The sequence below is a fragment of the Homo sapiens genome, chromosome 5 (genome assembly GCF_000001405.40).
Source record: "Homo sapiens chromosome 5, GRCh38.p14 Primary Assembly".
Taxonomy (NCBI): Eukaryota; Metazoa; Chordata; class Mammalia; order Primates; family Hominidae; genus Homo; species Homo sapiens.
The window spans coordinates 30,781,912-30,807,724 of NC_000005.10; the positions used below are offsets into that span (position 1 = coordinate 30,781,912).

Consider the following 25,813-nt stretch of genomic DNA (forward strand, 5'->3'; position numbering starts at 1 on the left):
AACTTTGAAAAACCAAAGAACTTGGGCTTAGAAATTCACTTTTACCAAGAATGTAAAATTTGTGATAGGTTTGCTGTAATAAGTTCATATGATCTAGCTCAGATAAATTGTTTCCTTTAGCCCTTTGCAGTAAAAAGTGTTTTTTCTGTGTACTCTCTCTTTAAAGCCTGTTAGTATTAAAATTCCATCTTATCTAATTTATAATTCCATCTTATCTAATTTATAAAAATGTTTAATCAAATAAGATTTTGAACATTAATTATATTCCTCAAACAGTTTCTAGGAATCATCTCCTAAGTTTCTGAATTCCAAGCAAGTAGTACTGTGCCTGCCATTCAGTAGTCAATATATTCTTATATTAACTATATTAATATAACATTATTACTATTAACTATATTAGTTAATAGTAAATATTTATGATAAATAAATGTTTAATTAAAGAATGAAGTCATTCAACTTTAAAATTTTTATCTTTCAAAATCTTGATGAAAAAATAGTCCATGAATCAAATTTATTAGCTTATATGAAAAGAGTCCATATCTTTACTCCTACCTCTCACTTGTTACTATTACCTTTTGGGTATTTTTGGAGTTTGGTGTTCATGCTTGAAACAACTATTTTATTTTAGTAATAAATGTAAAACTTTCTCATATGTTCTCAAGAGAAAGCATCATTAAGATGCAAAAATAAAAAATAGAAATATTTTTAAAGAGAAATATTCTCTTTAGAAAGAGATTATGTTTTTCCATTCAAATTTTCTTTTCCATTTCTTATCTCATTCTCTCCATGCAATCTCTCGTGGGACACTTTAAAAAAAAAGTTTTTCCAAAAGTTGAATTAAATGAAGTTCCTTTTTATATGAATACTTCCTATAATAGATTTATCTCATACTTTCAGACATATCCTGATATATAAAAATAAAGAAATTAGTTTTATGGGCCAGGCACAATGGCTTATACCTGTAATATCAGAACTTTGGGAGGCCAAGGAGGGAGGACTGCTTGTGTCCAAGAGATCAAGACCAGCCTGGGCAGCATAGTGAGACCCCCATCTCTACAAAAAAAAATAAAAAATTAGACAGATCTGGTGGTGCATGCCTATAGTCCCAGCTATTTGAGAGGCTGACCTAGGAGAATAACTTGAGCCCAGCCAATCAAGGCTGCAGTGAGCTGTGATCATGCCACGACACTCAGCCTGAACAACGGAACGGGATGAGATCCTGTCTCAAATAAATAAATAAATAAATTAGTTTCAAGACCTTATTTTATTTATTGAATATTGAATAATTATGGGCACCCTCCATGCATCTTCTTGTTGTATTCATAGATCACAAATTGCTTTCTTCAGATTGTATAAAGCAGAATTGGCCAGTGTTCAAGCTCTTTGATTAAACAAAATGTAAAGGAATATAATATCCCCCTAAAAGAGAAGATGCGGTGTGGTGGAGCCTTCCCACAGTGTCTGACACAGCAGGATTACCACTGTCATATCCACGCTCCAATCGCTCCCTTGTCAGTCCTTCAAATATTTCAGCACTTTTTCTTTCCTTTAATTATTCATTTAAACAATGAAATAGGGAGGGAACTTCACCCACTTGGTTAATAGCCTTTGATTATAGAGTGAGAATGGAGAACCTTACTGGGAATTCTAAGTTCAACTGCACACTGAAAAGTTTATAAATAAAGTTTCCTGTTAGCTAACCAGAAGTGTCTAAAAATCACCATGTCACATTCATAGTTTAGTCTAGAAATTTAGAGCTAGAGCTGGGGAACATTATACCTGGGAATATAAACAAAATAATTCATTAGACGCTCACTGTATGTGTACACAAGAACAAAGGGAACACTTGTATATAAAACATAAAATTTTGCTACTACCATATCTTGAAAGGATAAAACGTCCTTAATCACATCTAACAACTATGCTTGAATGAAATGTGCCCTATTGTTACATTTGAATTGTAGAGTTTTTTGGTGTTATGTTGGTGACATTAGTGTTGAACTTTGTTTATTTCGCTACAGCACTAGCAATCTAGAAACAAATATAACACATCATGGACTTTCTAACTAAAGAGAGATTAGGAATGAATTCAAAGAATTTCAACTGGCCAAACCTGGTGGCTCAGGCCTTTAGTCCCAGATACTTCGGAGGCTGAGGCTGGAGGATTGCTTGAGCCCGGGAGTTTGAGGCTGCAGTGAGCTATGACCATGCCACTGCACTCCAGCCTGGGAGAGAGAGTGAGACCCTGTCTCCAAAAAAGAAAAAAGAAAGAATTGCAGGCATGTTTTGTTTATGCAATATAAAAGATATTTCACCATACACAGTGGTCCTCCTCTTATCTGTGGTTTCACATTCCATGGAAAGTCCAGAGTATCCATGTTGTAGATGCTACCTGCTTATTAGTAGCCGTCTCCTTGGTGGGTGACTGTTGAATTGTATTGTAGTGTTTATGTTCAAGTAACTTTTATTTTACTTAATAGTGGCCCCAAAGTGCAAAAGTAATGATGCTGGCAATTTGGATTCGCCAAACAGATGTCTAAAAGTGTTTCCTTTAAGTGATAAGCTGAAAATTATCTTAATAAGGAAAGGAAAATAACCATATACTGAGGTTACTAAGATCTACAGTAATAAAGAATCTTATATCTGTGAAATTATGAAAAGTAGATTGCTATAATTATTCTCATCTCTTACTGTGCCCAATTTTATAAATTAAACTTTATCATAGGTATGTTTTATTAAAAAAGAAAACAGAGTGTATAAAGGGTTCAATATTATCCACAGTTTCAGGCACCCACTGCAGGTCTTGAAACATATCCTCCGTGGGCCAGGCATGGTGGCTTATGCCTGTAATCCCAGCACTTTGGGAGGCCGAGGCAGGTAGATCCTCTGAGATCAGGAGTTCGAGATCAGCCTGGTCAACATGGTGAAACCCTGTCTCTACTAAAAGTACAAAACTAGCCGGGTGTGGTGGCGGGCGCCTGTAGTCCCAGCTACTCAGGAGGCTGAGATAGGAGAATCACTTGAACCTGTGAGGCAGAAGCTGCAGTGAGCTGAGATCGCACCGCTGCGCTCTAGCCTGGGCAACAGAGCAAGACTCCATCTCAAAACAACAACAACAACAACAACAACAACAAAATCTACCCCATGGATAAGAGGACACTACTGTATACTATATACAATATAACGCTCAATATTTTTATGGATAAGAACAGCATCAATATAAAGTACTCATTCCAAAGCATTGCAACTCAAAATGCTGAACTCATAAAATTTAAGACATACTAACATTAGCCAAATATTGAAATTAAGCTATACTATATGATTTAAATAAATATTATACATCTGTATATATAAAAATGTGAAATGTATTCCTAAATAGGTTAAGATTTTTTGATAAAAGATTAAAAATAAAACAAAATTCTCCATCTCCAAGAATTTTAGAACTGGCTACCAAACTGCCTTTTGTAATGTCTGGAAATAATTGCAAATATATGTGTAAATATATAAATAACACTGCATTTCTGTATTTTCACCTTATTGCAATAATTTTACTACAAGCAAACTGTATTCTTAGAAAGCAGATATTTTTTATTATGCAATATGCCTCCTTTGGACAAGATCAACATTCATTCAAGGTGAAGTCTAACCAGCTATTTCTGATGACTTTCCTATTACTCTTAATCTCATAGCAATCACTCCCCTCTATGCTTCTCTGCTTTTTTCACATTGTTATGTAATTCTGCCTGTGAATTCATGTCCCCTTTTGTTTCCACACCTGTTTATATGGCACCTAGTAGGTGTTCAATATATGCTTTTGAATAGTATTTAATGATTTATTTTATTTCCAGAGACCTTGGACATTTGACTTGATGATATGACTTCCAAATGTCTCTTTTACCCATTCGTTCTTTTAAATTATTCACTGTTAATCTCATGCTTAGAAGTCTCTCAATCTACAGTTTTATTCGTGCTGAATAATGCCACCAGAATAATCATTATAAAGCAATGCTGTCATCGTGCCACACTTTTACATTAAAAACCATCCACACGACCTACTGCCTACAGGATACATTAATTTATTCAGTGAGAAAACATTTATAGAGTGTTTTCTATGTGCCGAGATGTTGTTCAAACATTCAAGTCCCTCTGAATTTGGCTATAATCAACATTTGCATCAAAATCTCCAAACTTTGACCTTCTTGGATCTGACACTCTAGCTATTTTTATTTTATTGTCTCCTTTACGTATATCTGTGCCTTCCCACTTTCCAAATTCTGCACATTAAGACTGCTCTTTTCTTCAATGACTAATCTAATTTTTAAGACATAATTAAATTTCTCCTTTTATGAAAATTTTACAAGCCATTTCAGATATGAATAATTTGTTTTCTATTGTACTCAACTCTCTTTTAATTGTAAGCTGCCTTCTAATAGATTTAATTTTACTGTATTAATTTTATTATAGAAGTCAGAATATACAATTAAAAATGAGGGCTTTAGAATTGATTGTATTTAAGTTGAAATTACCAGTAAGATAAATGCTAGTCATATGATTTTGGTTAAATTAATGTCTGAATTAGTTTCCTACTTCTAAAGTGAAATTAGTAATAACTAGTTTCTAGACAGTAAGAATTTAATGAGATAGCATTGGTATTTATTGATGATAACTTTTGTACAGTTTTGCAAATTTTGTATTTATGTTTATCAACTAGTTTGCAAGGCCTTGAGAACAAACGGGTATATCATATTTTATTATATATACTATTATGAGAAGCAGAATCATGGAAAATATTTCTGTCATAATGGATTATTTAATTATTTAGTTTTTCTATAATATACTTCTGGGAAAACAATAAACCATGGATACAACAATATGACAGAAAGATAATACCTGATCAGTGAATAATATGTCAAATTTTATATGTGTTTATGTATGTGTGTTTATTTTGTATATATATTTAAGTTTATAGGTATATAAATGTACATGTATACTAGTATATATAGATACGTGCATACATACATAGACGCACTCAAATGTATGTAGATATGTATATAAATACGCATATGAAGTGTGTTCATACAAAATACCCATATATACACATTTCTACACACACATTTACTCACATACAGACATAATTCAGATAAGAAACTATTTTGGCCATTCCTGTTATGACTAATTTGTTTTCTATTGTACTCAACTGTCTTTTAATTGTAAGCTGCCTTCCAATAGATTTAATTTTGTTGTATTGATTTTACTATGGAAGACAGAATTATACAATTAAAAATGAGGGCTTTATAATTGGTTGTATTTGAGTTCAAATTATCAGTAAGATAAATACTAGTCATGTGATTGTGGTTAAATTAATTTCTGAATTAGTTTATTACCTCTAAAGTGAAATCAGTAATAACTAGTTTCTAGATGATAAGAATTCACTCAAACATTTGTAGATATGTACATAAACATACATATGAACAGTGTTCATATAAAATACCCATATATATACACTATTTGAACAAATTAGTGATATCCGGAATTGCCAAAATAGTTTCTTATCTGATTTTACTATGTTTGTATGTGAGTATGTGTGTGTAGAAATGTGTACATATGGGTATTTTATATGAACACTGTTCAGATGTATATTAATGTACATATCTATATACATTTGAGTGTGTCTATGTGTGTATGTACATATCTGCATTTACAAATATTTCTAGAGAGCACAGTTCTGTTGGAAATGCAACTGGAGGTAATAGTGCACTTTGTTAGGAGCTAAAATATCAACATTTTAAAGATTTCCAGACTTCAACTTGAAGAGGGCTCAAAATGGATATTTTGAACTGATCAGGTTCAATTACATTAAAGAAAGACCAATAAATCAGTAAAATATACAAGAATCTTTTAAAGATTATACTAATCGAAAAAATTATTTCTCTAAAGATTTTGTTTTAAAGAAAGTTTCTTGATTTAGGGAGAATTTTAAGCTTAATCTTACATTGCATTATTGATCAACTGGATGAAAGGAGCAACTTCCATTTTTCCATTTTTTATTTCTTCTATTAAAACCCAAGCACACAGTTCTATGGCATTGCCCTTCATTTGTTCTGCCCAGTTGGAATGCATGGCTAAGCTCTCAAGGGAATGTTCTTGCTATTTATTATTGATTTTATAGCTCAAAAATGTGAGTGGGCAGTGAATGGCTGGATTGCAGATTAGGAAATAACCACTTAGAAGAAGAAGCCAGCTGGACACTTGTGATAAATTGCTATTTTCTGTCTGAATTTTATACCTAGTTATAGGTAGTTTACAGAATTAAGCTCCATATGGACAAAATGCTACTGAGGGGACTACAACATAACCTGTGCGTAGTTACAGATGCTTTTCTCATTCTTTTGGGACACGTTGTAGGAGAAATATGTCATAATCAGGGATTTAGAAATAATGAAAGATTTGGCTTTCATCTGTTTTTCATGGATTTGCCAGAGCTGAGATAAAGAAAACAAACATACACAAATGTTAGCTCTGATAGCATTAAAACAGACTAAACAAATGCTCCCTGAATGCGATTAGACACACACACAGACACACACACAAGCTCTAGCACCACTTTCACCAGCAGCACTGTAATTCTCAGCATAGAAAAGTTTCAATGCTTTTAAGTAATGTTGAAATAAATTGTCTGCCATAAAATAATCTTGATAAATTATCCAATTGTTTTTCTTGACTTAATAATATCACATTAGTCAGCTCAAGCTGCTATATAACAGAATACCATAGACTAAGTTTCATAAACAACAAACATTTATTTCTCACAGTTCTGGAGACTGGGAAGTCCAAGATCAAATTTCTGCCAGCTCTAGTGTCTGGTAAGGGTACTCTATGTGGTTTGCACATGGTCATCTCTTCATTGTGTCTTCACATGGCAGAGAGTAGAGACAGAGGGAAAGAGAGAGAAGCATAAGTGTGTCTCTTCTTATGAGGGCGCTAATCCCATTTATTAGGGCTCCACCTTCATGACCTAATCCCCTCCCAAAGGCCCCACCTATTAATACTATAACATCAGAAGTTAGGGTTTCAACTTATGAGTTTGGGGGTAGGGTTGGGAGGACATACACATTCAGTCCAGAACAATCATCTAAACTAAACATAAGAAATGCACATTTTCCAATGAGTTTTCCAATTTATAATGATTTTAAATTATAGATTAGCATTCTTTAAAATTATTATGAAGAATGTATCAGCCAGGGCTCGACCAGGAAACAGAAACAACGTATTTGGAACTGATATAAAATTTAATGCAGCAAATTTTATATATATCTGATGACAGAACTGAATAGCCAAATAGGGGGAGGAAGCAATGCTGAGATTTTAAAAAGACATAAGGTCACTACTACTCACAGGCTACAGAGACAACAGGGAGTGGGTAATATTATGGAGCCTGGAGCCAGCCAGGGATTTCCAAGATACTGGGGCCAATGTGTACCTTTCAAGCAGGGCTTGGACCCATGGAGGTGATACAGCTATTGCTAGAAGTGCTACCTAAAGCAAAGAGGAAGAGGAAAAGCAACCTGGCTTCTCCACCAGTGCCAACCAGTACCCCCCCATTAGCTAAATCCATCTAGAAGCCAACTAACATGGAAGAAACACTTCCTGCTGGATCAATACCCTTGTGATTTTCCTTTCTGGGAAAAAACGAGGAATTGATCTCCTGAGGGTAAACCAGCCCAGTAACAGCACAGATATTTATCATTTTTATATTATAACTTATCAAGCTTCAAATTATTTAAAATGTAATAGATTAACTCAAAATTCCAATTGCATGTAGAATTTCATTGTCAAACTATTAAAAAATGGAAACAAAAAAATTGAAGTTAAAGAAAAATTGTTTGCACCTCTGAAAATTTAGATGCTTCTTATGTCAATGCCAACAAAAAAGTCCATTTTTATTGTAGTTGATCAGGCAAAGATAATAACTACACTGAATTGTTTGAACAAATATAACAATTAAATAGTTCATATATACTCATCAATCTATCTTAGCATTTATATGATCAACTTTTCCTAAAATCAACATCATCAAATTTAGGAAAATAATAGTGTATTTTATAAAATTTAATAATTTTGTGAATTACATATCAAAGTACTCAATTGGAGACAGGAAAGCCAGCTCTATTTACCTGTTTTTTAAGTTTTTATTATCATTTATTTAAGAAATAATTGACCAGTCATGTCAAGGGCAGACTTTAGATTTAACTTTTCTAAACTTTTCACAGTATGTGTTGCTCTAGCTATAAGTTAAAAGGGCAAAAATATGATCAAATCTTTTAAAATAAATTGAAAAGGGCATTTTCTGTGATACATTCTAATTAAAAATTACATTTAAACCCACGGGAATGGGATCAATAAAAATAAGCTTGTGGTATTTTTCTCAATTTATTTCCTTTATTCCCTGGTGTTTCACCAGGGGCCTATTTCTTTAGGAAGTTATTTCCTTGAAAATAGTCTCATAAGCTTCAAGAAGAATATTTTTAGTAGAAACTAAATTTTTACATAGGTCTGGTGCAGTCATCTCCATTACATAACAAACTGTCATTACCATATGATGGTACAGGAAATCACGAACAATAGCAGATCATAACCATATCACAGGCTATCATGATCTAGAACTTAAATTAGTTCTATTGCATTTCTTTCTGACTGCCACCACGTTAACCGTGAAGATCCTGAATTTCTGGTCCATCTTGGATTACCCTAAAATACAAAAAAAAAAAAATACTGTAGACAACTATGACAAACTGATTAAAACCAAGAAACACAAACTTTTCTAAAATGATAAAACAATACATAATGACCATAGGCAATGCCATTGTAAACCTGGCTCTTAACTAGACTTCCTGGTAAAGATACTAGCAGAAATGTGATGGAGAGCACTTATCTACAAAATACTTTTAGCAGGATACACTTGATTTTTTTTTTTTTTAGATTACTCATTTTTAAAAACCTGGGATTTATGGGTTTATCGGGGAATGACAGGCTTTGGCAATGTTGAAGAAAAAGGACATTCTGGGAGCTCTGTTAATGGTGTTGGACTTCTTTTGGACTTCTTCAAAGAAAGAAGCATTTTCCTGTGTCTTGTGATTGCTCCTGAGTCTAATGTGACCCTTTGTTTTATCTCATTGTCCTTTCAAATTCTAAAGTCTCTTCATTAATTAATGAATATAAGGTTGGGAGATGAGAAAGATGCAAATGGAAAAATTGCCAACATTAAAACTACCTCCACAAAACCTCAATAAAGCATTAGTCAATACCCTCTGAATAACTGACCCTACCTTCGCCCTACTGAAAATCATTTCCAGAATATTCTGAGGTTTGGGAAAAAACAAACATCCTGCACTATTCCCAAAATGAGATAAAAAAATTCTGATGCCAAATCTTGAAATACTCTCATGTAGTCCTTCCAACTTTCATATAAAGAAATTTGCAACATTGGAATTAGAATTCTAGGGTATATGGGATCCAGACCTTAAAGCTTCTCTACATTAAATGATAATTACCAACCCTGGAATAAGACCTTCTGCAAAACAGAAATTTGGCAAATCTTGAGTTTCTTATCTACACATCTTAAAAACACCCCTTAATTTCAGGAAAATGTATCAATTATAATTCAGAGTTACATATTTATAATTATTTAGAAATGTTTTAAGATGTTTCCATTTTAGAAGAACAGATTTACAGTAATCTATCATCTATTCATCATTCCCAATATATAAAAATTAAACAGAAATTAATAAAAATTAAACAGAAATTAGAGATCTAATAATCAGCAAACTGGGAATATTCTGTTCTTAAAAGGTTCTATAATATTTTTAAAAGATTAATCAAAATGGCATTAGTCAAAGTAACTACAATGTTTTCATATAAAAGAATATAATAGAAAGGAAATGAAAACATCCAAATTAGAGATTAATATTTCTTTCTTTTAAGTGGAAGAAATTGTAAATGGAAAGATGTTGCACATAAGATGCTTAGTTTAATGAATCAGAACAGATGAGGCTAATGGAGGAGGAGAAAGAGGAAGAAGTAACGAATAAACAAGTGATAAATACCTTGGTTTTTTCATGTTATTTTTGTTGTTCTTTACTCAGAATGATTTTTAAATTAACAAATACAACACACATATTCACATAAACAGAAAACTAAGCTTCCTCTATAATACTGACATGATGAAAGGGGGCACAATAGCCTTCAATCCATAATGAGAACCCATAATAAATGAGAACATACATTATAATCATACATTTTCTTAAATACATCTATGTGCATACACATAGCCCATGCTAATTTTTAAAACATGCCCTCCCAAATTTTTATATCCAGATACATATATATTCTATGCTGAGACACACATACAAAAAGTGACAAATATATGTGTAATTCTAGGTTAATCAATAACACCCATTCACACATACATATTACAGTTAGTTTGTCATTTGTGTCAGTTATAATTAGAGAAACACAATACGTGCTCATATTTATGTGCATATGTGCCATCTATTTCTACCCCCACATGCATAAACACTTGCAGAAGATCAAAGTGATGGTTTAGTTGCACAGTGCATGAGTTCGCGGCTGTAAGAAAGAGTAACTTGTTTAATACATACACTGGAGTATCTCTTATAATTAAAGTAAGGCTAGGCAACCACACTTCAGTGAAATACGAACCTGACCAGGCATGGGTAAGTTGGCATTGCAACTTGTAGATTTTTTCCTGTTGAACTCTACTATTGATGTGACGTAACCACCAAAACCATATTTCTCAGTTGCAATTTTCAAGTGACAAGATTTGAATAGCTCAGCTTAAGTCAGGTGCCTATTTTCATGTACACGTTCATTCAAAAGTTGTTGAGCCTCTACTATACACAATGTAGTGTGGACCAGGTTCTCCAATTACCAACCCCAAGAGAGAATTCCCACTGCATGGAGAATAGCAAAGATTATCACTATACCAACCACCAGAAATAGGACTCCAAACACTTTTGCCCACTGCACCTTGGGCTATAGTTTTATCAATTGCCTGAGTCCGATGAGACAGAACACTCACACACAACAAGTTACATAAAATAGATTTATTACTTACAGATAGGCAGCAAGCAGCAAAAGAAGTCTAGGATCCATTGTGATCCAGTCCCTCAAGGCTCAAGAAAGCTGCCTGGGGCAGATGGAGGAAGGCTGAACTTTGGGTGTTCCACTTGTATTGTGGCTGAGGGACCTCAAAAGTTGTTCCAACCCAAGTTATATACCTCAGGGCAATATGGCTCACTGGGCAAAGATTTGAAGGACATCCTGCTTCCAGGAGAAGGAGGAACAAAGCCCAATTTGTCTCAGACAGTTCCTCCCTAGCTCAAGATGTTACATTTTCTGGTTGGGACAAGAACAAGACCCAGACAGTTTCAGGCAGTTTTTGCCTAGATCTCAGGATGAATGTAGTCCCAGCACATTCTACAGTTTTTCCAAGAACTACATGCAGGAAAGTGGGAGCGAATTGGGTCAGTCCAAAGCCATCCAGAGATCTGTCCTGCAGATTAAGTTTTCGATATACTGAGGTTCAACACAGCAGACACGTCATGACTATGAACGTGGGTAAGCAGAACTGCACAGCAGAAACATGGTTGTCTAGAGCCTATACTTGGGGAGCAGAAAAGAGAGGATCTGCTGATTGGAGAGCAGAAATAAGAGGCACTGCTGATAACCAAATAGTCTTTACTAAAAGACTGTACCTGGTAGTTAGCTATGGTTAGTTCGCTGGACAAAGGAAAATAATTTGAAAAGACAAGTGAATGTATTGCCTGCATAACTATCCTAAGAAACCACTTCCTGGTTAGATATTTAAACTCAATGTCTTTATATTCTTTCATTCATCTGTTACTTGCTATTGGTAAGTAAATACAAGGTCAGTGAATTCAAATACATCTTCCTGAACAATTTAAAGTTGGAAAGAAAGATGTCTCTATAACAGAATTTCCTTTTTTAGCCTAGTACAATGAGTTTACAAAATGTCAGTATCCTATTTCATGTTCTTGTCTGTTGTGAAATTTCACTAATAAAATATACCTCTGAAAAAGTAACTATAAATTGTCTTTAATACTGTGTAATATAAACTTACTTCTCTGTTCACTCATATTGGTAGTTTCAAATCAAGGAAAACTTGAATTATTACATGTACTGATAAAACCCAATTTACTAATTTTTTAAACCTGTTGTGCAAGGCTTTATTGGGAAAATAGCCTGCCACATAACTTTTACCTTATTTTCACTCCATAATAGTGGGATCCCAATATAATTAATGGGATATTGCATCTTTACTAGAGACTTAAACCAATTATTAATTAATACAAATGGCATGCAATTTTAAGACTTCTCTCTACCTCCCTTTGGCCCAACAGCATTACATTAGCAGAATTAGAAATCAAACAATTTGACTTTTCCAATTCAATAAATCTAAGGCACTATGCGCTATGCATAATAAAGTAACATTTTTGGTCACCATCAGTGCACATAAAAATCAAACAGTGACTCATTTTTTTCTCCAGAAAGAACATTTGAAAGATGGTAATCACAAGAGTGTGGAGTCTGAAATACTAAAAGGAGTATGAGAAAAATAAAAAAATACAATTCAAATTAATAATTTTAGAAAGCTGATAACATTGACAGAAAAAAATTGCAGCATTTTACCTCCCTAAAGGAAGACAAAAGAGACATATTGCCAAGTGGAAAATAGGAAATCATCAAAAACTATACAGAAAGTAATCTATGAATTAATTTATTTTATAAATAAGGATTATATGCTTCCAGATGGGTTGAAAAAATATGGGCAGTCTAACCTCACAATAAGGGCAGCACAGCCAAGAGGCCACTAGAGTTCAACGGGGTAAGAGCTAGAAGAAGGTTATATCTCACTATGGTTTTAATTGGCATGTCCCTAATGATTAGTGATGCAGAGCATTTTTTCATAAACCTGTTAAACATTGTATGTATTTTTAGGAATTGTCTGTTTAGGTCTTTTGCTTACTTTTAAATGGGGTTATTTGCTTTATTGCTATTGAATTGTTTGAGTTTTTTTATTTATTTTGGATATTAACCCCTTATCAGATACATGGTTTGCAAATATTTTCTCCCACTCTGGATTGTCTCTTCACTTTGTTAGTTGTTCTATTTGCTGTGCAGACACCTTTAATTTGATTTCAAATCAAATTAATTCCATTTGCAATTCCATTTGTCTATTTTTGCTTTTGTTCTCTGTGCTTTTGGATTTATATTTTTTAAAAAATCATTGACAAAAATGGAGCCTTTTCTCTTTTTTTCCTAGTAGTTTTATAGTTGCAGGTCTCATATTTAAGTATTTGATCCATTTTATTTTTATATATAGCGTGAGATAAGGAATTAATTTCCTTCTTCTGCATGTAGATATCCAGTTTTCCCCATACCATTTACAGCAGAGGCTGGCCAATCATGTGTTCCTGGACACCTTAGTTGAAAATCAATTCACTATAAATGCATGAGTCTATTTCTCAGCTTTCTATTCATTCCATTGGTTGATGTGTCTGTTTTTATTCTACTGTCATGCTGTTTTGATTATAATTGCTTTATAATATTTTTGAAATCTGAATGTGTGATGACCCCAGATTTGTTCTTTGTATCCAAGATTATTTTGGCTACTTGAGACCTTTTGTGGTTCCATAGATATCATGTCACACCTTTTAGAATGGCTAGTATCAAAAAGATGAAAGATAAAAGGTATTGGCAAGGATGCAAATAAAAGGGACACCTTGTAAAGTGTTGGTAGTAATGTAAGTTAGTACAGTTATTATGTAAAACAGTATGGAGATTCTTCCAAAACTAAAAATAGAATTACCATATGATCCAGCAGTCTCTCTTCTGGGTACATATATCCAAAGGAATTGAATTCAATCTGTCAACGGGATATTTTTTGCACTCCTATGTTCATTACAGCATTATTCACAATAGCCAAGATAAGGAATCAACCTAAGTGTCCATCAACAGATAAATGGATTTTAAAAGTGTGGCATATGTACACGGTGGAATACTATTCAGCCTTAAAAATGAAGGAAATCTTGTCATTTGTAACATGGAAGAACCTGGAAGACATTATGCTAAGCAAAATAAGCCAGGGACAGAAAGAAAGGCATATATCACATGATTTCACTTATATGTGGAGTCTAAGAATGTCAAACTCATAGAAGCAGAAAATAGAATGACAGTAACTAGAGGCTGGGAGTGGGAAGGAAGGAGGGAATGGGGAGATGATGGCCCAAGAGTTTCAGGTAAACAGATGGAATACCTTTGGAGTCTATTGCGTAGTGGAGTGACTATCTCCAATAATTATGATGTATTGTACAATTCAAAATAACTAAGGGAGTAAATTTCAAATGTTTCATCACAAAAATGATAAGAAGGTGAGGTGGTGGATCTGTTAATTAATTTGGTTTAATCATACTACGTTGTATACAAATATCAAAACATCACTTTGTACCCCAACAAATGTACATAATTTTGATTTTCCAATTAAAAATAATAATAATTTTAAAAAGCAAAAGCAATTTTTTTATAAAGGCCTAGGAGAAGGAAAGTAGAGGACTCCATGGAAAAATGTGGGCTGGGGACTAAACCTGCTTGGGAGGAGAGGGTGGAGTCTAGGCTGCAAAGAAGAATTTTGCAGTTGAGACCGGGAGGATGAGTTAGCCTTGGGAAGAAGCAGAAAGTGAGCACGAGCAGTAGGGTTAGAGAGGAGGATTTTCCAGCCAAAGGGCCCATTGTATGCAGAGGGCAGAAGATCAGGAAGGCAAGAAAATAAGATTTGTTTGAAGACACACAAAAAAATGAGTAGGGCTGGAGCCTACCGACATTAGAAACTGTAACGTTTCCCAAGAGAGATGGAAATAACTGTAGGTTTTCATGCAGAGAACAACTATGATTAGATTTCCAAAGTAATCTTTAAAAAAAATTCCTTAGAAGTATGATGGGATGGGATGGAATAGTTAGTAGGTTTTCTCACTATGGTGGGTGAGATCTGATGAAAGCCCAGCAGGAGAGTAGAAAAGACCAGGAGATAAATGGATTCATACAAGAGATATTAGAAGTATTTTGAGGCTTATTTTGATATAGATAATTAATGAAATTGAATAGTAAAGAAAAAAATGATGTCCAATCATTGATTAGTAATGCAGTAGTGCTGCGTACTCTTCAATAGCAAAGGGGTGCCAGGAGAGCAGGAGCTATGCATCATTATCATCCCAAAAAAATGTGAGGAGGGGAAAAAAACAAGCAGATTAATGGGTTTCAATTTTGAATTATTCTAAGAGAGCTGAATAATTCAAAAAAGTCACAATTATTCGAGATGTCATACAAAATAATATAAATAAATGAGAATAATGTTGGAGATGCCATACCACAAAATAAAACACATAAAAATGCAAATAATTAGATACGTGAATTGGAAAACAGAAGGTTAAGAAAAGAAAATATAGATAAATTAGCTAATTTGAAAGGTGAGCAAAGGAGAGCTGAAGTTTATAGTGTCTATTTGACTACTAGTTAATGATATGCAAATCTAGTTAAGAAATCCTGCAAAGAAAAACTCAAGAGGGAATTTTAAATTAAGTTTAAACAGCCTCAACATGTTAGAGGTTTTAAAACCACTTATATCATACACTGTGAAATATATCTCAGACACATTTATACCTGAGTATGCATTCTTTTGAGATGCTAGGTGACCAACCAGAACAAAAAAAAATTGGAGAGAGTAAAACTTTGTTAAAATGAGGATATGTATCTAGTGAGACATAATTCTCCCCCTCAGGAACCTAATGAAAAATGTTTTCACATATTAAAGCAGGCTACACATATTTGTCAAAAATAAATCATGTCAAGCATAGTGCTTTTCTTTGATCTTTTAGGTAGGAAAACATAGTATATGTTATGTGGAAATTAGTCTGGCTTTGAACATTCACACTTGGCAAACAAAGATTGGCAAATGAGAAGACTGATAGCTCTCTGGCATATCAAGAATGTCAAAGAAGAAATTGCAAAATTAGACAAGAGACTGTTTTGAATATAAAAAAGGGGAAAACTTCAAAAGAAAGGAGTATTTCTTTTTGTGATTAAGAAAAAAACCATGTGATGTAGACTTGCTTCTTTCAAATAATTTAAAACTTTATTTTTGTTGAAAGCAAATATAAGAATTATGACAATTAAATTGATTCTTTCAATTATTCAACAAGTTTTAAGTACCCACTGTGTAATAGGGAAGGCTCTGAGGATACAGAGATGAAAGGTTCTACCTAATAGAACTTAGAGTTTAGGTTGGAACTGACAAGTAAACAAGCAGCTTGCAACACGTAATTGAGGAAAAACAAGGCCCTATGGAAGTATATGGGAAAAGAGTTAACTTTATGCATCAGAGAAATCTTCCCAGAGGAAGGAAAGCCTTAAGGGAGATTTCAGGATGAATACAAGTTAATCAGTAAAGAGAGGAAATATGCTTCATTCAGAGGGAATAGCCTGTGCCGGTGCCCAATAAGAAATTTTACAGGTTTCAAGTTGAAGTACAGAAGAGGAAGACGGTAAGGGAAGAAGATATGACTAACCAATATGAATATATTATCAATCTTTATCAGAATTTATTTTTACAGGCATTAAGACTTTGTGTACAACAGCATAATTTATCTAATACATTGTAATGAATCAGTGGTTCATTGTACACCTTGTCGAAACAACAACAAAAATGTTTCCAAATATCTTTCCCAATGTTATGACTGACATATGACCATTTTTTATTTCTGAACAATAAATGTACTAGATATGTGTATTGAGTTAATAATATTAAAAGATAATTGGTACTTCCATAATTGATCAGCCAATTACAGCATTTTCATGTTCAGGGCTTTATCATTCTCATTGTTTTCTTTATGTGTATTTCTTTTCCAAAAAATGAAAGATCATCTATAAAATCTCTTAACAATATTCATCAAACTCCTACGAAATAGCAAATCTATTCTTTAGTATTATTCATACCTTCCAAACCCATCACATGCTGAAAGAAAAAGAATCATTAGGAAGGAAGAATAAAGAGAAGAAAGGAGGGAGGCAAAGAGGAGGAATGTTATTTTGACCAAAAATGCATTCTGCTTCTAATCCAATCATTAGCAGCTTAAATCAAGAAGATTATTAAATTCTAATAATCCAATCATTAGCAGCTTAAATCACAAAGATTGTACCTCTTAACAAATGTGTATTTGTTCATTTGTTTGAAAAAATTTCTAAAAGAAATTGTTTACTGTTACTGGATCAGTGGTTCAACAACACAAAAACCACCATCACTATAGTTTCCATGTCTTTTCCCTCATAGGAAAATACTAGATAATGGCTGCAGTTCTGAGCATTTTGACTACAGCCATGGTAGGAAAGACAGTGGAAAGAACAATACCACCTTCATCTTTCCTTTTCAGCAAAGAGTAGAAATCTTTCCAGAATCCTCCAAGAGGAATTCCATTTATGTTTCGTTGACCTGGAATGTATCACATGGTAATGCTTAGACTCAAGGGAAGCTGGGAAAGTAATTATAGCTTTTCTGGATACTATGTTGGGTGTTAGCCAAGTGAATCAAGTGGATAGATATTCAGAATGAGTGTTGGACCCACTATTAATTTTTAATACACTAATGGAAGAATCAGAAATTTGATAAATGAATGAACTTTTTTTGCCAGATTTTTGTTTGTTTTGGTATAGATTTAGTGGGTACAAGGGCAGTTTTATTACATGCATATATCATGTAGTAGTGCAGTCTGGGCTTTTAATGTGGCCATCACCCAGATAGCGTACATTGTACCTATTAAATAATTTCTCATCCCTTACCCCACTCCCACCTTCTCACTCTTCCTAGTCTCCAGTGTCTATTATTCTACACTTTATGTCCAGGAAATCATGTCTCTCAAATGAACATTTATGACCTTACAACAAGTAGATGTTTGTAACTCAAATAATTACTCTCTTTTTGGAATAATCTTTTTACCTGTTTGAGCTTCAATACCTTTATGGGAAGAAAGGCACTAGAATAACACAACTTGTATTGTGAAGATCAAATGAGACATTGTATGTGAAACTGCTGTGTGAGCTGAGGCCTATAAATTATTTATTATTACGTTGGGAATGTGATAGGCTAGAGATATGGATATGAATAACTAAATAATGCATCGTATAAATGATTTTACTTCAAATTTCTTTCTGTCGGATGATCTGAAATTAATAACGAAAGGCAAAATGAATGACCAGTGAGTCTATTCAACCCAGTCTAAGGAAAGCAACTGTAGATGGTATATTTCTTTTAATAATTTCTTTGGCCTACTTCAGCTACCACATTCTATCCTTAAGATGAAGATAAAAATCAAAAGATCTTTTAAACAGGTCTTTCTATAGAAAATTTTAAGCATCTGTAAATATTTATCCAGAAAAATACCCACTACAGGCATATTAACCATCCTCAAACTTTTAAAGGCCCACCAAATAAAAACTGTATTGAAGGTTTAACCTTTTATATATGACCCTAAATATGTGAAAAAAAGAAGTAATAGAGAAATAAATTTCATCTCAAATGTAAAAGAAAAAATTACAGTTGTCAATGTAGCTGATGAAATTTTCCAAAAATGGTACCAATAATTTATTGTATTCCACATGCTATTCTGCAATGGAAACTTGCCCTGCCTGCACTCAGGAAATGAAATATTCTTATCTACTCCATTGAACCTGTGCAGGCTCTGTGATTATTTGGACCAACAGGATATGGCAGAAGATATGCCATGTAATTTCTGAGACGAGGTCATAACAAGCCTTGCAGCTTCCAGTTGCATCTCCTGCAGTGCTTGCTCTTGAGAATCTCCCCCTCAAGACCCAGCCACCACACTACAAGAAACTCAAATCCCATGGAGAAGCTAAACGGAGACATTCTAGTTGAAAGTCCCAGCTGAGCTCCCAGTCAACAACCAGTCATGGGTCTGTGTATTCTTAGACGTTTTCCTTAGGCAAGTATTTGGATATGTCTTGCTTCTCAGCTACCTGACAGCAAAAACATATAAGCGATTCAAGTGAGAACCATGCAACTGAGCCCAGTTAATGTATAGGAAAATTAGAGACAATCATGGAATGATTGATTATGCAACAAGAGATAACCAAAATACTCAAAGATGAATAAAACACTGTTTCATATGGCATCAATGTTTTAATGTTTACTGAGTGCTTACTATATGTTATATACTGTTCTGAAATACTTTATACACATTATGGTTTTGGTTCTTCACTTAATCATCTTAGATAAGTACAATTATTATCCTTGTTTTACAGATAAATAAACTGAGGCATATAGAAAAACAAAATGGTCACCTAGCTAGTAAATTCTTAACTGGTATTCCATTAAGACTCCTTTAAACATTTTAGTTGCAAAAATAGGCAAAGCATTTACCTTTGGTATACAAAGAGCTAACCATTAGATTCTTGTTTCCAGCATGAGTGATTTCTATGCCTACCATTGGATGACAGGGGGAGCAAACAGAAAAGAAGGGATAAAGAGAGAAGGAGCTGAAAAGACAGGTTATGTATTTTTAATGCTACACTTACTATATAGATATATTAAGAGTACTTCAGAGTGAACATTTATTCATCAATTCATTCAAGAAATTTTGAGCGAAGTTTTAATATGTACAAGGCATTGGTTAGATTCAGGTGATAACAATATTGAAAAAACTAAAAAGCAATGCCCATGCCCTCAAAGAGCTCAATTTTCATGAGTAGTGGGTTTTTTGTTAAGGAATGTACCTGAAAAGACTAGAAAACCACCTGAAGAAGCCATTAAAGGCAAAATTCAAGAATAAGGAGAAGAATTGCAATAGAAAGCTGTTAAGCTTCATTTTAGCCCCAAGACTTTATGATTTTACTTTGCAAGGAACTCATATCTACTTTTCATGGTCTGATAATCTAGGTCAGATAGATATAGTCCTGGTTAGCAGGAAAAAAAAAAAAGTTGATGGTGTCTTTTAATTCCAGGGAGGTTTCTGTGAGCTGAATCAGAGATATTATTTTGTAGGGTGTTTTACCACCAGATTGCTCTTTTCTCCCTAGACTAGGCTGACCTCACAACCAAATGACATATTTCTTCTTACTATCTGCACTGCCACATAAGTCCCTAATGACACCACAGCAATAGAACAAGGAGGCTCAAATAATGTCTATTTTTGGAGGAAACTCGGGCTTTATCACTTTTTTGAAGGTGACATAGGAAAGTAGGGCAGGACTAATCACAGGTAAGATTGGATTTTAAAAAAAAAGAACCTTTTCATAAATCAGAGAATGTTATAACAGAAATGAATCATAGAATTTGTAGGGAAAGGTAAGAAATCATTACTAACAGAGGCAAATCTTCAATAAGAGCAGTGAGAGATCTTTCCACAATGAAATGAGATATCTTTGTAAAAAAATCTTCAAACTATTTCAGTTCCTTTTAAAGTAACTCCGAAGTCCTCCCCACCCACTCAATGAATAAAATATTCTATTTTAGCTTATCTGAGGCACCTAAATTTTGTTTTGTAAGCAAATCATTGTTTTTCATAATCTAAAGTGAATTTTATTTGAAAGAGCATCCCCTAATAACTCAGAAAGTTTAAACAACGCCAACTTCCATTTTCACAAGGCCTTTTGATTCAAGTTATGGTGGCTTTGGAAAAGCCGGGCTGCAGAAGGGAAATTCTACCATGAATGCTGCCTGCACAGGGCTGAGCTCCCCAAGGAGCAGAGACAATCCTTGACAACGCTCTGAGGTAAGATTTCTTTTACTTAATCTGTATGGGGTTTTTTTTTTTATCATTTTTGATGAATCTGATTCTCATTCACTTCGACAGCCTTTGAGGTGTTTTGATTCAGAGAGCTCACACTGACTTCATTGAAAGGACCTGTAAAGTGCAGCTCCAGTTGCCCCTGAAAGCTCCTACTGCCTTAAGAAGCACAGGAGCACGCTTTTGGCAGATAATGTAGCATCCATAAGTACAATGCTCTGGCAGCCACTATAGATAAATATTTTTTATCTGCCTTAATTTTTTCCCTTTGTCTGATGAATCTCCTCCAATTTACAAAAAAGAAAAATACTTCATTAGTTAGTCACATTTTAAAATTTTTTCCACATGTAGGCAGTATTTCCATGCCATATGAACTATGTAAGCAAATTTTTCCTTTTTTTTATAGATTATCTCTGTGAGTTAGTCAGCCAGCGCTTTGTGAATTAGGGGAGTTAAATAAATAAAAGGGGCAAATACAAACTGAGAGCCTGATGTTTTTCCCCAATAATAAAGACAGTGATTGCTTAAAGAGATCCCCAATTTCTGTCTCAATGTCAGCTCTGAACTAACAGGATGATACAGAACCTATTTATGCCAGGGAAAGCTTAGAAAATTTCTTGCTTAGTCCTCTGGCTCTGGAGAATTCCAAATGCCTAAAATGATTCTCAGCATGCAGAGACCACAATGAAGATGACGCAAACTTGATACAGCGCAGTCAGATGTTCTACATGTCAGGCTACAATGGGTGAGAGTCAACTCTGGTTGGTCTGAGTGTTGTCCCATGGTTGGATCTCCCCAGGCACATTACAGACAGAACCTCATTTCTAGGCCTGCCTTGAACTACCGTCATTCCTCAAGGAACATTTTAGATGTAAACTCCCTCAAGAATAGTTTGAGGGTGATCCTTTGCTACTTTGCAGCTAGCTAGGACCCAAATGGTCCACTGGTATCCACAGTGGGGAAGTGATTTGCTTGTTCTGATGGAAGCATAGTAGAGTGAGAAGAGAGAAGATTTCTCTCTTCTCATTCTTGGACTATGCAAGAGAATAATCATTGCCCAGCCTATTAATACCTGGAATTTGGCTACACACTTTATGCATATAAGCTCATGTTTCTTTGCAACAAACCTGTGATTCAGGCATTCTCAGCTCCATGGTTCTCACACATGGCCATGCCCATCTGCACAGATGCAAACACACACAAAAGCTTCTTAGGGAGAGTACATACTCATCCGAGTATTAGACATATTAAATGTAGTGTGAGCATTGAGATTTGAGTCTACTGGACTTTCAAGTCTTTTCTTTCCTGGGATTCTGTTCTATTTGTACAACTTACTAAATTCTAGATTTTTCTGAAGGTAACTCAATTTTTTAAAAACCTGGTTTATTCATCCTTACTATGAAGATAAAATACCTTCAGTTTACGCAATTGCTGTAAAAATGAAATGCAGTAACATATGCATACGCCTTTTTTTTTTTTTTTTTGAGATGGTATCTCATTCTGTCACTCAGGCTGGAGCTCAATGGCCGCCATCTCAGCTCACTCAACCTCTACCTCCTGGGTTCAAGCAATTCTCCTGCCTCACTCTCCCGAGTAGCCTGGATTACAGGTGTGTGCTGCTACACCTGGCTAATTTTTTTTATTTTTAGTAGAGACGGGGTTTCACTATGGTGGCCCAGCTGATCTCGAACTCCCGACCTCAGGTGATCCACCTGGCTCAGCCTCCCAAAGTGCTGGGATTACAGGCACGAGCCACAGCGCCCGGCCTGCATAAGGCAATTTTAATCCATCCTAGGATATGGTCTTTAATAACATTAGTTCATTTCTCTTTATCTTGTTTCCCCAAATGGATATAGTGTTTCCTGATATGCTCTCACTAAACAGGCTCTTCCAATCATTTTAAAGTGACCAAATATTTAAGTTACCCATAGAAAATGTCTATATATGCATGTAAGACATGTATTTATGGATTTGTATTTTCAGTATTTCCAACGTTCATTATTTTTATTCATTCAGGCAGTTTTTAGTTTGACGTGCATTCATTGGCTACATACAGAACTCTGTTCCAGGCCCTGTAGGTGGCACTGGAGCTAGGAAGATGGAAACACAGGCTCTCCATCCAAGGCGGTGCTGTCTTAGCCTGAGAAATAGACATTTACAACACAATGTGGAAACCACTGTCATGGAAACAAGAACTTACAGAACAGAAATCTGAATCAACATTAACCGTGTCTGGAAAGGGCTTTGGTAGAAGGAGATGTCAGGCCAAGAGTAGAATGAGTAGGAGTTAGCCAGGCAATGGAGGAGGGAAGGTGCTGCTGTCCACCAGATGGGCAAGACACAGCTGAATCCAGGAAGCCAAGTAATGTAGCTTCCTGTGTAGCTCAGTACTGACCTCTGAGAGAATAGGCATTAGTTTAAAATACAGCATTCAAAAGTCCGGAGGAACTGGTATTCTTATCTCACCAAGTCTACATAAGTTTAGACAGTGAGAAACGCCTCCATTGGGTAGAAAGCAGTGATACCTGATAATCAACTCCTTGGAAGAAATGTACTCAACACTGTGACCTAGGTGTTTAGTCACATGAATACTGGGAGAAATTCCAATCTTCACCTCGGCCAGCAAGGAAAGGTAAAAGATATCAAAGATCCAAGGGCAAAGAACCAAGGGCAAAATTACCCTCCTCTCCAGGAGCTGAAACATCAAAGGAAATGCAATTAAAAGCCTAATGACAAGGTTCATCTACAGAAGTTCTATTTGTACAACTTACTAAATGTTAGATTTTTCTGAAACAACTCAATTTTTAAAAAGCCTGGTTTACTCATCCTTACTATGAATATAAAATACCTTCAGTTTACCCAATTGCTATAAAAATGAGATGCAGTAACATATGCATAAGCCATTTTATTTTATTTTTTTTGAGATGGTGTCTCATTCTGTCATGCAGGCTGGAGCACAAGGCAATGGGTCCACTAGACTGTGCCAGACTCACATGGGCATCCACGGCACAGGCCTACAGCTGGACACCTAATTCCTGACTGTGTGAACTGGCTGCCCTAGGTTGGCTGTTATGCTGTCTTGAAAAACAAAAGGTACGATAGTCAAAGCAAAATCAAACAAACCAGAGAGTCTTGAGCTTTAGATTCAAGCTCAGATTCCAATCTCAATTTGTCCAGCTTCTCTGTGTTCCCATGATTAATTTACTACTATCTTCTTCCAGCCTCAGTTTTCTCATCTGTAAAAATGAGCTGTAGCGGCCGGGCACGATGGCTCATGCCTGTAATCCCAGCACTTTGGGAGGCCAAGGCAGGCAGATCACGAGGTCAGGAGATCGAGGCCATCCTGGCTAACACCGTGAAACCTCATCTCTACCAAAAATACGAAAAATTAGCCAGGCATGGTGGCAGGTGCCTGTAGTCCTAGCTACTTGGGAGGCTGAGGCAGGAGAATCACTTGAACCCGGGAGGCAGAGGTTGCAGTGAGCGGAGATCGCACCACTGAACTCCAGCCTGGGCGATAGAGTGAGACTCTGTCTCAAAAAAAAAAAAAAAAAAAAAAAAAAGAGCTGTACAGTCTGTATCACAGGGATGTGTCATGAGTAGGAAACATAAATGGAAAATAATTTTGCAAGCTGAAAAGCACTGCAAATTAATATGAGAAAAAGGTTTATTTAAATCTGAGCACACTTGATATACAACTATTACTGTTTGCATTGCTTTGAATAGCAAAAACAGTATATCTATAAAATACTTATTTTTGAGAATTTTGAAACAGAAAAAATTGACTATGGACACACAGAATGTTTAAACTTTATGATTTACTTCACTTCTGAATACACACGTCTCTTCTGAGCAATAGAACCAGTTCGGTTCCCATCGTATAACTTCACTGCAAAGTTAACTCTTCTCTTTTCTGACTTTACTTATTTGTACTGATTCTATTTTCAGCAGCTGTAGTGCTTTTTATTTATTAACTTTTTTAATATAACAGGAATATCTAAGACAAAAATCGATATATTCATAATAATGTCTCCACACTGTTTTATAATATAAATGACAAACTTACAGATGTAAAAAAATGATTTTTAAGTTAAATTTAGTTGTTCAAATTTTTCTATTATTAGTTTGAAGCTTCTGAGTGGAAAACAGCAACCGTGATGTTTAAAAAGTATTCAAACTTTACATCTTATTTCCTCAACACAGGCTAGCCCTAGGCAAATCTAACCATGTCAGACGCCTGCTAAAATTCCTTCCATGGCTCTCCACTGCCTTCATGATTGAATCTAAACTCCTTAACTTGGCAATCAAGGTCATCTTCTTGATTATCCCCTTATTTACCTTTGAACTCATCTCTACCACTAACCAGCCAACATCCTGATCCCCAGCCATTCCAAAGTCCTTGAAATCTCAGAAGTCTCGTGCTCCATTTTTCCTCCCTGAATTTGTTTTGGCTGCTGTCTCCCCTATAAAGTCATTTTTTTTTTCTATCACTTGTCTCATATTTATCTAGAATATACCATCCCTGTGTAAACCTTCAGGAATGCAATCAATGGCATCAACTGTCAGCCGTTTTCCTACTCGTATCCAATTCTACCTGCCTCTATTTAGCTTTGCTCTCAAACACATTCTGTTCTTGGGGCAGCAAGACCACCACTGTCAGTCCCAGTCTTACATACCGTATTCCTGTGCTTCCCCTGAGAGCTCCAGCAAAAAATCCCAGGGAAAACTCTGATTGGCCCATCTTAGATCAGTACACAGCCTAGAACCAATGTCTGTGGCCATGGGAATGAAGAACTTTCATTCTTGCCAGTCTGAGTTATATGCCCGTATCCATTTTGATGGAAGAGAAGACAATAACACCACTTCAAATCTATAAACTACTATAGCAAAGAGAAATGGTGTGATTCTGGTCCTCCAAA

At 35.0% G+C, this 25,813-nt stretch overlaps 1 long non-coding RNA gene across 1 annotated transcript; it reads right to left on the bottom strand.

Annotated features, from left to right (window-relative positions):
- Positions 1-6,780: 6,780 nt before the first annotated feature.
- LOC124900952 (uncharacterized) lies at positions 6,781-8,748 on the bottom strand. The gene is made up of 2 exons (XR_007058713.1): positions 8,594-8,748; positions 6,781-6,910 (listed from the first exon to the last, which is right to left on the bottom strand). It is a non-coding gene; the product is annotated as an uncharacterized LOC124900952 (long non-coding RNA).
- Between the last annotated feature and the right edge of the window lie 17,065 nt (positions 8,749-25,813).